We start from the raw sequence: 14,845 nt of genomic DNA on the forward strand, positions 1-14,845 counted from the left end.
AATAAATCCCGATCGTCAACAAGAAAAAGGGGGAGGGGTGACAGGACCGCAACAGTCTCCTCAAAGATGATATACAGATGGCAAATATGCCTATAAAAAGATGTTCATTGCTGGGCGCAGTGGCTCACGCCTGTAATCCCAGGACTTTGGGAGGCCCAGGTCTTGATCACCTGAGGTCAGGAGTTCAAGACCAGCCTGGCCAACACAGTGAAACCCCATCTCTACTAAAAATACAAAAAAATTTGCTGGTTGTGGTGGCGGACGCCTGTAATCCCAGCTACTTGGGAGGCTGAGGCAGGAGAAAATGCTTGAAATTGGAAGGCGGAGGTTGCAGTGAGCCAAGATCACGCCACTGCACTCCACCCTGGGTGACAGAGTGAGACTCTGTTTCAAAAACAACAACAAAAAAATTAGCCTGTGTTTGAGGGTCCTCTTTTCTATTGCAGTTGACCCCACATGAAAGAGCGAAACTCCGTCTCAAAAAAAAAAAAAAAAAAAAAAGAAAAAGATGTTCATTATGTGTCACTGTCATTTTAAAATGCAAATTAAAACAACAAGAGTGTTAGAATGATGGATCTGAAATGCATATTGCTAAATGAAAGAAGCAAGTCTGAAAGGCTACAAACTGTAAGATACCATTTAAAGGGCATTCCGGAAAAAGCAAACCTATAGATAGTACCAGATCAGTGGTAGCTGGAGTTGGAGGGTAGGGTTAAATGGATGAAGCAGAGGACACTTTCAGGTAGTAAAATTGTTCTGTATGATATTTTAATGATAGGTAAACGGCACCACGCATTTTTCAAAACCAGCAGAACTTCAGAGAACAAGAGTGAGCCTCAGTACATGTTAACTTTTAGAAAACATTTCAGAGGTGGAGAATCCCAGGATGGAATGCAGAATGTAGCAAAAGAATCTAATTGCAGTACAAACACATGAAACAACCTCACTAAAGGGGGTATGGGGAAAGGCAGTGATCCAAGTAACTCTGGGAAATAGTGGAGTCTTTTTTTTTTTTTTTTTTTTTCATTTGGAAGCTGGAATTTTATCATAGGCAACAAATATTATCAGTTGTTTTTTTTTTTTCCTTTAAGACTGGAGGCAAAAAAAGTTGCGCATAAATGAAACTGGCTCAATTTCCCCATAGAAATTATGTGTACAGGTCTTTGAATAAACATAGAAACTGACCCTTCCAGTTTTAAAACCTAAAACTTATATTTGTCTCCAATGAGTTCTTTCCTCAGGCAACGGACTGAAACTCACCAAATCACCATTTGACAATGAGACCCCAGACACCTCTTTCCCCTCATAGGTCAGGACTGCTTCCTTATCCTTTTTCTAATTGCTGTTTTCCTCACACATAGTTACATTCCTTTTTTCGGTACATAAACTCCCCAGTTTTAGTTGGTCGAGGAGGCAGATTCGAAACTGATCTCCCATTCTCTTCAGTAGGCAACACCTAAATAAAAAGGCAAAATTTTTCTCTGGCCGGGCGCAGTGGCTCTGGGTGTAATCCCAGAACTTTGGGAGGCCTAGACGGGCGGATCACTTGAGGTCATGAGTTTGAGACCAGCCTGGCCAACATGGGGAAACCCCCCATCTCTACTAAAAATACAAAATTAGCCAGGCATGGTGGCACACACCTGTAATCCCAGCTACTCGGGAGGCTGAGGCAGGAGAATCGCATGAACCCAGGAGACAGAGGTTGTAGTGAGCTGAGATCGCACCATTGCACTCCAGCCTGGGCAACAAAAGCGAAACTCCATCTCAAAAAAAAAAAAAAAAAAAAAAAAAAAAAAAAAAGGCTTTTTCCCTGGCAATACTCAACTCAGTGATTGGCTTTCTGTGTGGCGAGAAACAGGACCTAGATCGACCACCTGGCATTTCTGTAACTTAAACACTGTTATGCTATAGTTGAAAGTTGTACCCCATGGAAATAAAGATTAACAATTCTGGAACCATGTATGCTGTGATTGACCAATTAAATAAACTGGATGGCAGATGGTGGGAGCCAGGTTTCTCACTGCTGGAGTGGAAGGTTACAAATAAACAAGAGAAGGAAGCAAGAATGATCCATGTAATCATGGATTAGAGTTGGGCACATCATTATGAACTCATTTTTAACTTCATATAGATACAGATGGTCACAAATGGAAATACTTACAAATGTGTGTATTATATACACCTGTTTCCTCACTGTATCAGCTGAAAGAGCCTGAAAGAAACTACACCCTAGAAACTCAACAGCAATAAGCGTATCTAGTGTGACACATCTTGGTTTCAAATGCCATTCTCAAATAAAAGAAACCAGGGCTCCTTGGAGAAACAGCTAATTCTGGGACTAGAGTGGGAAATATGTAAGAGGAGCGTGGAGTATCTTGTAATCCCAGAATATAAGCATGGCAGGCCAGGTCTCACTAACTCAGGCCCCCAAAACAACTGTTTCTGTACAGACTGAGTAGTTAAGTTAAATGTTAAAAGCTGAAAGAGCCGGCCGGGCACAATGGCTCACATCTGTAATCCTAGCCACTCTGGGAGGCCAAGGTGGGCGGATCACCTGAAGTCAGGAGTTCGAAACCAGCCTGGCCAAAATGGTGAAACCCCATCTCTACTAAAAATACAAAAATATTAGCTGGGTGTGGTGGCAGGTGCCTGTAATCCCAGCTACTTTGGAGGCTGAGGCAGGAAAATCGCTTGAACGCAGGAGGCGGAGGTTGCAGTGAGCCAAGACTGCCCCACTGCACTCCAGCCTCAGTGACAGAGCAGAGCAAGACTCCATCTCGGAGGGCGCGACGGGGGGGAGGGGAAGAGCCAGTACCCTTATGCAAAGGCTGGAATTTAACAAAAGCCCACCAAGAGTTTTGCCTAGGCCTTTCCTGGGCCTTAAAGCATGACAAAATAATGAAGGAATTCTTAAGGCCCATTTAGGATTAAACAAGTTTTACTGTGGGTCTAAAGAAACTTCCCAGGCCTCCACAAACAAGTTTATTGGGGTGTGAAGGAACTCCCAAACCTCCGTGATTTAGCAGGAGACAAGATAACGGTAATCACTCCAGCACCTGGACCCATTTAGATTAAGTAAATTTACTGAGGCTCCAGAGGAAGGTCTTCAAGACTCAGACCTTAGTTATGGACCAAAAGAAGTTAATCATTAAGATGAATGCACACTTACAGGTAGACATATAACTTAGAAGGTATATAAGCTACGGAAACTTTGTAATATTGAGTTGGCCTGGTGATAATTTCCAGGTATTATCCCTGTAACCCATTGCAGAAATAAAAACTTTCTTCCTCCCCAGTTCATCTGCATCTCATTATTGGGCCTTAAGAAGTAGCAGCCCAACTCTCAGTTTGGTCCAGGAACATAAGTGTTTTAAAAAAAAAACAAAGATAGGGTTATATATGTCAAAGCACTCCCAATGGCCAAAGCTAGAACAATTTGAACAAGAAAATAAAGCAATATTGGATTTGGGGATAATCCAAAGTACAAAATAAATATCTATGAGTTCATACTGATAAAATGATTAAATAGAAAAGAACAAGCAAATCTCCCATGCAGAGGAATTCCAAATAATTTATGCAGACACTCTGCCCCCAAGTAGGTGGAATATAACTACTCATTCTGAAAGTGTGGGCTGCACATAGTGACTTCCTTCCAAAGTGTACAGTATAGAAACGGGTAAAAGAGCAACTTTACAGTGGAGAAATATGATAAACAGTATCTCAGCCAGGTGATCAAGCTTAACATCAACAGTGGCACATACTGTTGATATGATATAATGAAAATGGTACTTCATCTCTATGGGCTTCTTCCCAAACACCCATAATTCCACTCTAATCATGAGAAAAACATCAAGATTAATCTCAATTGAGAGACATTCTACAAAACACCTGATGAGTCCTCCTCAAGACTGTCCAGGACATCAGAAACAAGGAGCGCCTAGGAAACTGTCACAGTCCACAGGAGCCCAAGAAGACACAACAACTAAATGTAATGTAGTAGCATGAGATACTGGAACAGAAAAAGAACATTCAGTAAAATACAAGAAATCTCAGTAAAGTATGTATGGACTTTAGGGTTTTTTTCTTTGGCAGTGGATTTTTTTTTTCTTTTTTTTTCCAAACACTCTCCCAAGTAGCTGGGACTACAGGCACACACCACCATGCCTGGTAATTTTTGCTTGTTTGAAGAGCGATGCCCAAGCTAGTCTTGAACTCCTGGTCTCAAGTGATCCTCTGGCCTCACCGTCCCAAAGTAGTGGGATTACAGGTGTGAGCCACCATGCCTGGCTGCTTTTAGCTGATAATAGTGCATGGACATTGGCTCATTAATTTTGACAAATGTACCATGCCAATGTAAAATGTTAATAATAAGGGAATATGGGTATGGAGTATAGGAAAACTCTATGCTATCTGCAATTTTTCTGTGGATATAAAACTATTCTATAAAAAAGTTTTATTTTAAAAAATAAATGGACAAGAATATAAAAACATCCTGAAGGAGAAAAAGAAAGGGACAGAGGAAAAATTAGTACTATTAAATGTTAGAGGCCAGGCACGGTGGCTCACGCCTATAATCCCAGCACTTTGAGAGGCCGAGGCAGGTGGATCACCTGAGGTCAGGAGTTCAAAACCAGCCTGACCAACATGGAGAAACCCCATCTCTACTAAAAATACAAAATTAGCTGGGCGTGGTGGCGCATGCCTGTAATCCTGGCTACTTGGGAGTCTGAGGCAGGAGAACTGCTTGAACCTGGGAGGCAGAGGTTGTGGTAAGACGAGTTCCTGCCAGTGCACTCCAGCCTGGGCAAGGAGAGCGAAACTCCGTCTCAAAAAAGAAAAAAAATACATTAGAGCAGGGGTTAGCTAACTACAGCCCACAGTCCAAATCTAGTCCACTGCTTATTTTTTATAAAGTTTCACTGATACTTAGCAATGCTCGTTCATTTACATATTGTCTGTCTATGGCTGCTTTTGTGCTATACTGGCATAGCTGAGTAACATATGGCCAAAAAAACCCTATAACATTTATTACCAGGTCCTTTACAAAAAAAAGTTTGCCAACCCCACCCCACTTTGTTTTCATTTTACTTTAATTTTTTGGAGACAGAGTCTCCCCATCTGTTGCCCAGGCTGGAGTGCAATGGTGCAATCTCACCTCACTGCAACCTCCGCCTCCCGGGTTCAAGACATTTTCATGCCTCAGCCTTCCCAGTAGCTGAAACTACAGGTGCGTGCCACCACAGCTGGCTAATTTTTGTATTTTAGTAGAGATGGGGTTTCAGTATTTTGCCTAGGCTGGTCTCAAACTCCTGAGCTCAGGCAATCCGTCTGCCTCGGCCTCCCAAAATGCTAGGATTACAGGTGTGAGCCACTGCGCCTGGCGCCAACTCCACTTTGAATAAATAGAACCCAATGCAGAGTTCACAAATACCAATTATATGGGTATATCACAAATATACTCATATAATTTATTATCTGAGCAGCTGCTGATATCCCATGACTTGCCTGAGCAGAGGCAGGTACTTCACTGCCATATCCCTATAGCTTCTTTTCCATTTAGCACACATCCTCCTCCTATAATACACAACTCTTTCAAAGACAGGCTCTAGTAATATTTCTCTAAACGTATCCTGAACTCAGAGATAACAGACATTTGTTGTGGCAGAAAAGGCTGGCTTCCTACACTGCCCACTCCTCAGCTACTCAGGAGGCTGAGGAGGATCGCTTGCTAACATCTTCTCAGTTTTGTTCATGTTCCATTAACTGCATGCTTAAGCTGACCATGGTCACCATCTTGAGACTGCAGGCCAGAGAGCTCACTAGGTCCTGGAGATGAATCTAATTCAACCATAATAATTCCATGATTTAAGACAGGAATGAGCTACATGGCCCAACTGTGGTCAATGAGATATAAGGGAAGACATGTGGGAGGGCTTGTGAACGGCTTTTCACTCTCTAAGGGACGCATAACAAAACAGTTTACTTCCAATTTGGGGGCACTGCTGTGTAATGATATGCTACAGTTGCTCAGTCATCTTGAGACCACAAGGGGTCAATCCTGAAGATCAAAAGCCAGCACACTGGGGAGAGCAAATAAGAATATAATGAGTCCAGGTCCTCAGCAATATCATTAAGCTGCTGTGCTAAGCACTCTATTCCTGGAGTTCTTATGTGCAATAATAAATCCCCTTATTATCAAATACATCATGTATAGGCATTTTGCACAATGCTAACTTATTTAAAATGAAATATTCAAGTTTTATTTTTATGAGCAAGTTAAGAAATCAAGAATATAACTGTCTAAACTGTTGACTCTACTGTACTTCTAAACAACAAAAAAAATTATTCTAAAATATATTCAAATTGAAAACTAGTGCTCCCTAATTTGAACATACTGCCACAAGGCCAAGCATGGTGGTTCATCCCCGTAATCCCAGCACTTTGGGAGGCTGAGGCGGGTGGATTACTTGAGGTCAGGAATTCAAGACCAGCCTGGCCAACATGGTGAAACCCCCTCTCTACTAAAAATATAAAAATTAGCCAGGTGTGGTGGTGCACGCCTGTAGTCCCAGCTACTCGGGAGGCTGAGGCAGCAGAATCACCTGAACCCAGGAGGTGGAAGTTGCAGTGAGCCAAGATCACGCCACTGCACTCCAGCCTAGGCGACAGAGCAAGACACCGTCTCAAAAAAAAAAAAAAAAACAAAAAAAGTACTGCCACAAGACTCATAGTCATTTCTGTATTAGTAATGAAGACATATATTAAAAAGTATGTTTCACTGTAAGCTGCCAATATCTTCATAATTCACATATTTGCTATTTTTTGCCTATATCACTTATAGCTATCTGGTTAGTAAAATGTTCCATCTAAAAAATTACTTATCTGGGCCAGACACAGTGGCTCACACCTGTAATCCCAGCACTTTGGGAGGCAAAGGAGCTCAGGACTTCAAGACCAGCCTCGGAAATGTAGTAAAACCCCATCTCTACTAAAAATACAAAAATTAGCTGGGCCTGGTGGCACATGCCTGTGGTCCCAGCTATTCAGGAGGCTGAGGTGAGAGGAACACTTGAGCCTGGGAGGTGGAGACTGCAGTGAGCCGAAATCCTGCCACCACACGCTAACCTGGGTGACAGAGCGAGACTTCATCTTGAAAAAAAAAAAAATTCTTTATCTGAAAGTTTTTACATAAACATAAGGATGTAGAAGATGAACCATTTTAAAAACCAAACAAATGACTATATACTTGAAGACTTTGCAATTTCTCCCCCTACCTAATAATAATATTGGAATACAAGCAGAAAAAAGAATTTTACTGGTTATCTCTCCAGATAAAATAACTTTTCTATAAAAATTATAAAAATTTTCTCAGCACTGTATTAAATGGTTGAATAAATGGCATGCCTATCTCATTGGACAGACCAAGCAGCATTCATTAAATATTTACAAAATAACTGCTTTTCACAACTTTTCAAACAATTTATTAACCACAACCCAAATTAATGCAAACTAAGAGGCCAAGAACTGTTTTTGTAAATATTCTTATCTCTACCAAGATTTTTTTTTATTTTTTTGTGGGTACATAGTAGGTGTATATGTCCAACATTCTATAAGAGTGAAAATACTCAACTCCAAACGATTCATTCACTCAACAAACATTTGTTAACCTTGACTATACCAGCTAGGTGTTGGGGACAATGGTGAGAAACAGGATACAGTCCTTGCTCTCATTTCACGGAATGTAAAATTATAAATGGAAATATACGCTCTGAAGGAAAAGGACAGAGGTTATTGAGTATATTACAAAGACCCCTGAGCAATATCTGGGCAAAAAGTATAATTATCCTATAACAGCAGCAACAATAGCAGCAACAGATATTATGCGGGGCCCTAACCAAAGCACATTATATATACATACCTTCATTTTATCCTCACTACAACCTTTGAGATAGGAACTATTATTATCCCGATTTCATAGATGACAAACTCAGATGCAGAGAATTTAAGCAACTTTCCCAACTCACATAGTAAGTGCATGAACTGGTATTCCACCAAGATAGTCACACACCTCCAGAGTATGTGCTACTAACCACTGTAATACATTACTTTTCTTATACAGCCCAAATGTTTCCACAAATAGAATCAGTACATACATATGGCAGCCAGCCTGCATTGCAGCAACCTGAGTAAGTGACAGGAGTCAAATGTAGCTAGTTCCTCAGGCAAAGCAAAGCGTAGACCTTCACTTGACCACTAACCCTGTTCCCCACACTAAGGAGTTCTAACCTGCTACTGTGTACTTGAGCAAAAGGGCAGTCTCTACCAACCCCTTCGCCTACTTTCTCAATATGACCCAAAAAGTTCAGATGAACTAGGCACCTGGCTTTTCTCAATCAATCAGGTCATCTGCTGTCCATCAAAAAAAGATAAGGTTGGAAGCTGTTCCCACACATGATGGCCAACTCAAAGATCACAATACACAGTAAATATCAGCAACTTGAAAGCAAAAGGAGATAGACTGTCATTTCCCCTGGACATGCAGTGTCATGGCTGTTCCTCCTCCTTGGCTCTGCCTGCTTTCTAATTCCACATGGATGGCCAAGAAGAGTTCAGAGGTTAATGGACAGACAAGATAACCACCTCAGTAAGAGAATTAATCACTAGCTTTTCATGAGATAATTTTTAGAAGGGGGTGGTAGCAGCATGTTATTAGTCCCAGACACAAAATGTGACCATTCCTATAAAGTAAAATCTAGATAAGATGCCTTAATTGGGAGGAAATACTAAAGATGATCATTGTGTAATCTTAACTTAAAATTGCTTTTAAGCCGGGTGTGGTGGCTCATGCCTGTGATCCCAGCACTTTGGGAGGCAGATCACAAGGTCAAGAGATCGGGATCATCCTGGCCAACATGGTGAAACCCCGTCTCTACTAAAAATACAAAAATTAGCTGGGCATGGTGGCGGGCGCCTGTAGTCCCAGCTACTTGGGAGACTGAGGCAGGAGAATCACTTGAACCCAGGAGGCGGAGGTTGCAGTAAGCCGAGATCACACCACTGCACTCCAGCCTGGCAACAGAGTGAGACTCCATCTCAAAAAAAAAAAAAAAATGCTTTTAAATACAAAGAAAATACCCCCACTACACTGCAATCTTTCAGTTCAACTGAAGATCTTGGGACAGATATCACACATTTAACAACAGCTATAATCTTCCTCAAAGGCAGTCTAAGGAGTCATGAGAAGTCAGGGTGGAGCCACAGTTAAGAGAAGGTACAAGGCATGTATAGTCTGAATGCTGAAAATAGGAAGCCCACCACTAGGAAGGATCAAGAACAAGTATCAATAATAAGGATGAACAGCATGTATCACGAGAGCAAAATATCAGAAATGTCAGCATTCCCAAGAGTTTCTTTAGAGTATCACTTCTCCCACCCCTCAATCTCCTGCTCTCTTTCAATCTTATGGGCTCAGTTGACACTACAACTTTGATACAAATAACCAGTGTCTCTACCTCCAACATCTCTCCCTGATTCCTCTCTCTAGATTTTCTCACCATCCAGCCTCAAAAACACATGTCAGGAAAAAATAAAGGGGGTGAGGGGGAGGCGCAATGGTTCATGCCTGTAATCCCAACACGTTGGGAAGCCAAGGCAGGAGGATCATTGGAGCCCAGGGGTTCAAGACCAGCCTGGGCAATTTAGTGAGACCTTGTCTCTACAAAAAAAAAAAAATTTTTTTTGACATAGGGTCTCGCTCTGTTGCCCAGGCTGGAGTGCAGTGGCGCAATCTCGGCTCACTGCAACCTCGTTCAAGGGATTTTCTGCCTCAGCCTCCCAAGTAGCTGGGACTACACGTGCCCACTACCACACCTGGCTAATTTTTTGTATATTTAGTAGAGACGGAGTTTCACTATGTTGGCCAGGCTGGTCTCAAACTCCTGAACAGAGGCAATCCGCCCGCCTCAGCCTCCCAAAGTGCTAGGATTACAGGCCTGAGCCCCGACACCTGGCCAAAATATTTTTTAAAGAGTTCACATCCAAGTGCAGTTAGCACTCTCAAAATCAACAAAACCAAAAGAAAACTAATCATAGTAATTAATTTCTCCTCCTGACTTCTCTAGTGATAGTACTGTACTGATTTTTTACCTGATTACATTTTCTCATTCCCCAAAATTCAATCTGCTTCTAGCTCCTCTACTAGTTCCTTAACATCTCTCACATTAATCACTTTCCTTTTTCCTTTTTTTTTTTTTTTTTTTAAGACAGAGTCTCGCTCTGTTGCACAGGCTGGAGTGCAGTGGCCTGATCACAGCTCACTGCAGCCTCAACCTCCCAGGCTCAAGTGATCCTTCTGCCTCCCAAGCAGCTGGGACTACAGACACACACCACCAAGCTCAGCCTCTTTTTTTTTTTTGGTAGAGACATTAGGCTGGTATCAAATTCTGGGGCTCCAGCAATCCTCCTGCATCTGCCTCCCAAAGTACTGGAATTATAGGTGTGAGCTACCACATCCAGCCAATCTTTTTCCACTAGGTCAAGACCCTGGTCCAGAAGCTCTTTTCTCCCAAGGTTTTGCCTCCTTATCAATCACTTAACTCTTGTGTCTCTCCACACTCAGGCACTGCATCAGATAAATCTTCCTGAAGAACAATCATGAGCATAGTTTCTCATTGTTCCCATGATCAAACTTGTCTAAACTTGTGAAGAAAGGAAGTAATAAGCTATGCATAGTTACACAGGCAGCCTTTGAATTGAGGTACTCCTAATTCCTAGAGACCGTGCTCTTCATCAACCAGCCTTGCATGTATCAGTACTACCCGACACTTTCCAGCCACTATCAAAAAAAGTTGTTTCATGGTCTGTGACATAAAGGAGAAGGAAAGAAAAGAAATTTAACAAAGTATTACATATTTCAAAACATAAATGTTCAGGCATGTCTACATTAGACAAAAATCAAAGCAGTCACATGTGCACATCCATATATGGGATCAACATGTGTCCTCAGGCACGCATATCATACTGGGTAGCCCGTTCTTTCATCTTCCTAAGCTGAGCTCACTAATCCTCCCCCAATAAGATTAAAAATGAATGGACTGTCTTGATGCAGCTTCAACTATCATCTCCAAACAAAAAATGCTCACAAACATATCCCTCTCTAAATGACGTCTCAGCTACTTTTACCGACTAGAAAATAATGACTTAGATGTCCTGGCAACACCTTCAATTCAACATATGAAAAGCACCTTACTCTACAAACAGCCTTTCCTTCCAACCATTCCAATTTCTATTCATGGATCCTGGTTACAGGGTTAGTCTGTATGACACTTTCCATTATGCCTGTTTCCCTTATGAGCGGGGTAAACATTTATCACACAAACGAGAACCTTTTTTTTTCTTTGAGATGGAGTCTTGCTCTGTTGCCCAGGCTGGAGTGCAGTGGCGCGATCTCGGCTCACTGCAAGCTCCGCCTCCTGGGTTCACACCATTCTCCTGCCTCAGCCTTTTGAGTAGCTGGGACTACAGGTGCCTGCCAACGCGCCCGGCTAATTTTTTGTATTTTTAGTAGAGATGGGGTTTCACTGTGTTAGCCAGGATGGTCTCAATCTCTTGACCTCGTGATCCACCCACCTCGGCCTCCCAAAGTGCTGGGATTACAGGCATGAGCCCCTGCACCCAGCCAAGACACTTTTAAGAGTAAAAGAGGGGTCAGGCATGGTGGCTAATGCCTGTAATCCCAGCACTTTGGGAGGCCGAGGTGGGAGCACTGCCTAAGGCCAAGAGTTTGAGACTAGCCTGGGCAACATAGTGAGACCCCATCTCTGCAAAAAAAACAACAAATTAGCCAGGCATGGTGGTGCACACCTATAGTCCTAGCTACTCCAGAGGCTGAGGTGAGAGAATCACTTAAGCCCAGGAGTTTGAGGCTAAAGTGAGCCATTATCGTACCACTGCACTCCAGCCTGGGCAACAGGGCAAGACCTTGTCTCAAGTAAATAAGGAATAAAAGGGGGTCCTTTTTAAGAATTAAGCACAGGCTGGGCACGGAGGTTCACACCTGTAATCCCAGCACTTTGGGAGGCCAAGGTGGGCAGAACACTTGAGGTCAGGAGTTTAAGACCAGCCTGGCCAACACGGTGAAGCCTCGTCCCTACTGAAAAAAATATATATATACACAAAAATTAGCTAGGGGTGATGGTGTATGCTTGTAGTCCCAGCTACTTGGGAGGCTGAGGCAAGAGAATCACTTGAACACGGGAGGCGGAGGTTGCAGCGAGCTGAGATCCCGCCACTGCACTCCAGCCTGGGCAACAGAATGAGACTCTGTATCAAAAAAAAAAAACCAGAATTAAGTGCAGACAAAAGGCATAAATTGAGATGTCTGATCACCCTACTTATGAAGAGCACACATAATATGGAAAAAATTCTCAAGTAGAAGCAAGGAAACCTGAGTTCTATTCCTGGCTCTGCTGCTAACTATTAATAGCTTCCTGTCTTTAACCAATTTTCTGGCCTTTAGTGCTCTCATACATATACTGAGAAAACTAGGACTGGCGTCTAAGGCCCCTTATAGCCTCTAGTGCATATATATCTGAAAGCAGGATCAACTCACACAAAAGGGGGATCCTTAGACAGGCAATGAGGAAGGACGGAAGATAGGTCAGAAAACAAGAAAGAGCTTGAGGCAACCCAAACACTCAGGACCAGGAAGTCTGTGAGGCAACGGTGTGTCTAACTTCCAGTAGTCATGTATCCTTTCCACTGGTCTTTTTATTTTTTTTCTTTTGGCTTTGTAACTCATACATGTTTAGTAGAAAACGTATAAATGAAAATAAAGAAACAGGCAAGAAATTATATTAAAATCAACAAAAATCTCAATATCAGCAATGATCACTAGTGTTTTAAAGTTTGGTATAAACCCTTCCAGACATTTTTCCATGCAAATATATAAATGTATTTTTAATGTGATAAAAGTTGTGTAGCCGATTTACATAAAAATAAATTCACCATATTCATATCAATAGGCATATAGTCATTTCATCACTTTTAACGGCAGCTTAGTACTCCACCTAATGTATGTGCCACAACTGTTTCACCAAGTCCCTTTTAAATTACAATCTTTCATGAATATATACAATTAGTACATACATATTTTACAAATATACCTCTGTGGTCTTGTCCCAATAGTGCCTTACAGTAAGTTCCTTGAAGAGTGACTGCCAGGTCAATGGGTATGGGCTTTTTTTTAGTGTACATTAACTGGCCTCCATAAGCTTCCCACCCAAGGAGTATATAACAAAAGAATGGTAATTTAAGAACTGAAGATTTCTCCAAAGCAGTATTCAAGATGCCTAAAGCTAAAAATAATCTTCACATTTCACCACACAACATTTTATGACTCTTTTTTCATGACCCATGATACTCACATGTATCTGGCTGACTAATAATTTAAAATATAAAGCCACTATTTTTCTTCAGGGAACATATTACCATGCTACAGATCTTAAATGAAGTTTCTGTACTTCTATTGCATCACAGTATAAAGAGATATTCTACATTACGTGCAAAAGATACTTTCATTAATTACTTAAGTACTTCAAAGATCTATGCACAAAGAACTACTAATATATAAAATTCATACTTTTGCTATTTTTAAATTGAAGCAATTAGTCAGATGAATAGTAATTACCAAGAAGCACATTATCCACAGAATTTTAAGTTTTTCTTCAGATCTCCTCGTGGCTTGACCTAATTTAACAATAGACAATGTAGAGCAGGGGAGCTATTTAGGCACGGAGTGACTACATGACAATGCCTAACTCTGTGACAGTACACAAATGACAACAAAAAACAATGCTCAGACAACTCAGGAGTCTTCTTCCTACCTCTACTCTTGAATACGAAAAACAAAATTGCCTATATAGGCAACATAAGGAACTAAGCTGTCAAATAAAAATTAGATTTGAGAACAGAGATGAGGAAAGTCCCAGCTCCATTGTTCAGTCAGCCTGGTCACTTTCAGCAAGTCAATTTATCTCCATGCACTGATGTTTCTCACCATTAAATCATGCACTGCTCTATCACCTACTTCAAAACTATCATGAGAATTGATGAGTCATAGTCAATAAAAGAGTATCACATTCCTTAGAACATTCATTAGAATATTCATGAATTCTAAAAAAAAAAATAGCAAAACCAGGTGAGATACACTCAATTAAGAAGATTAAATTTAAAAGGCAGGAAAACATCCAGGTTTTTAGGTGCTTAGTTATTCTGCCTCATTGGAAAGGTCTAATACTGTATATAAACAATATTAATATGATTTCTAGTAGAACAGTACATTTCAAAAGAAGTAAGTGCAGAAAGGGACGTGGGAAGCATAGGAAAATGAAGATGGTGAGGGAAAAAACTTTTTTACATCATACATAGTGCCTTTCCTAGGAAGTGCCCCTTCCCACCCACCTTAATGAATGTCACAGTAGACATGAGAGTGTTCTCCACAAAAATATTAAAAGGATGGCCCAGGGCTGATGCGAAAGGAAAGAAAAGGTAGAAAACCACCGAATATGGGGCAAAATAGTAATATTCATATTGAAATACTGATTTTGTAAGAGGAAGAAACTTTTAAGCCAGAGAGAAGACAACTGTTAATGTAAAATTAATATAAATGGATAGTAGAAAAAAAAGTCTGAAAAGCTAAGTTTTTCATCCATCTCAAGAAAGAGCCACAAAATCAATCTTTAACAAAGTGGAAAAAAAAATAGTTAACAGTAATCAAAATTACCCTTCTGCTTTATACAACCAAGACACACTGGATGCCAGGCAATGAAGGACAGAGATCCCTGAA

The 14,845-nt window shown here is 41.2% G+C and overlaps 1 pseudogene across 3 annotated transcripts in view, besides 1 other annotated feature; it reads right to left on the bottom strand.

Moving 5' to 3' along the window:
• The window catches only part of SLC71A3P (solute carrier family 71 member 3, pseudogene), a 70,693-nt pseudogene that overhangs the window by 43,591 nt on the left and 12,257 nt on the right, over positions 1–14,845 (bottom strand). The window lies entirely within an intron of this gene.
• Positions 2,207–2,707: an enhancer, noted in NCBI's record as "H3K4me1 hESC enhancer chr9:99750992-99751492 (GRCh37/hg19 assembly coordinates)". NCBI's record gives its function as "activates a minimal SCP1, AML or CMV promoter by ChIP-STARR-seq in naive H9 embryonic stem cells {active_cell/tissue: H9 hESC(naive)}" and the evidence as "EXISTENCE:reporter gene assay evidence [ECO:0000049][PMID:30033119]".

The sequence above is a fragment of the Homo sapiens genome, chromosome 9, assembly GCF_000001405.40.
Source record: "Homo sapiens chromosome 9, GRCh38.p14 Primary Assembly".
Lineage (NCBI taxonomy): Eukaryota > Metazoa > Chordata > Mammalia > Primates > Hominidae > Homo > Homo sapiens.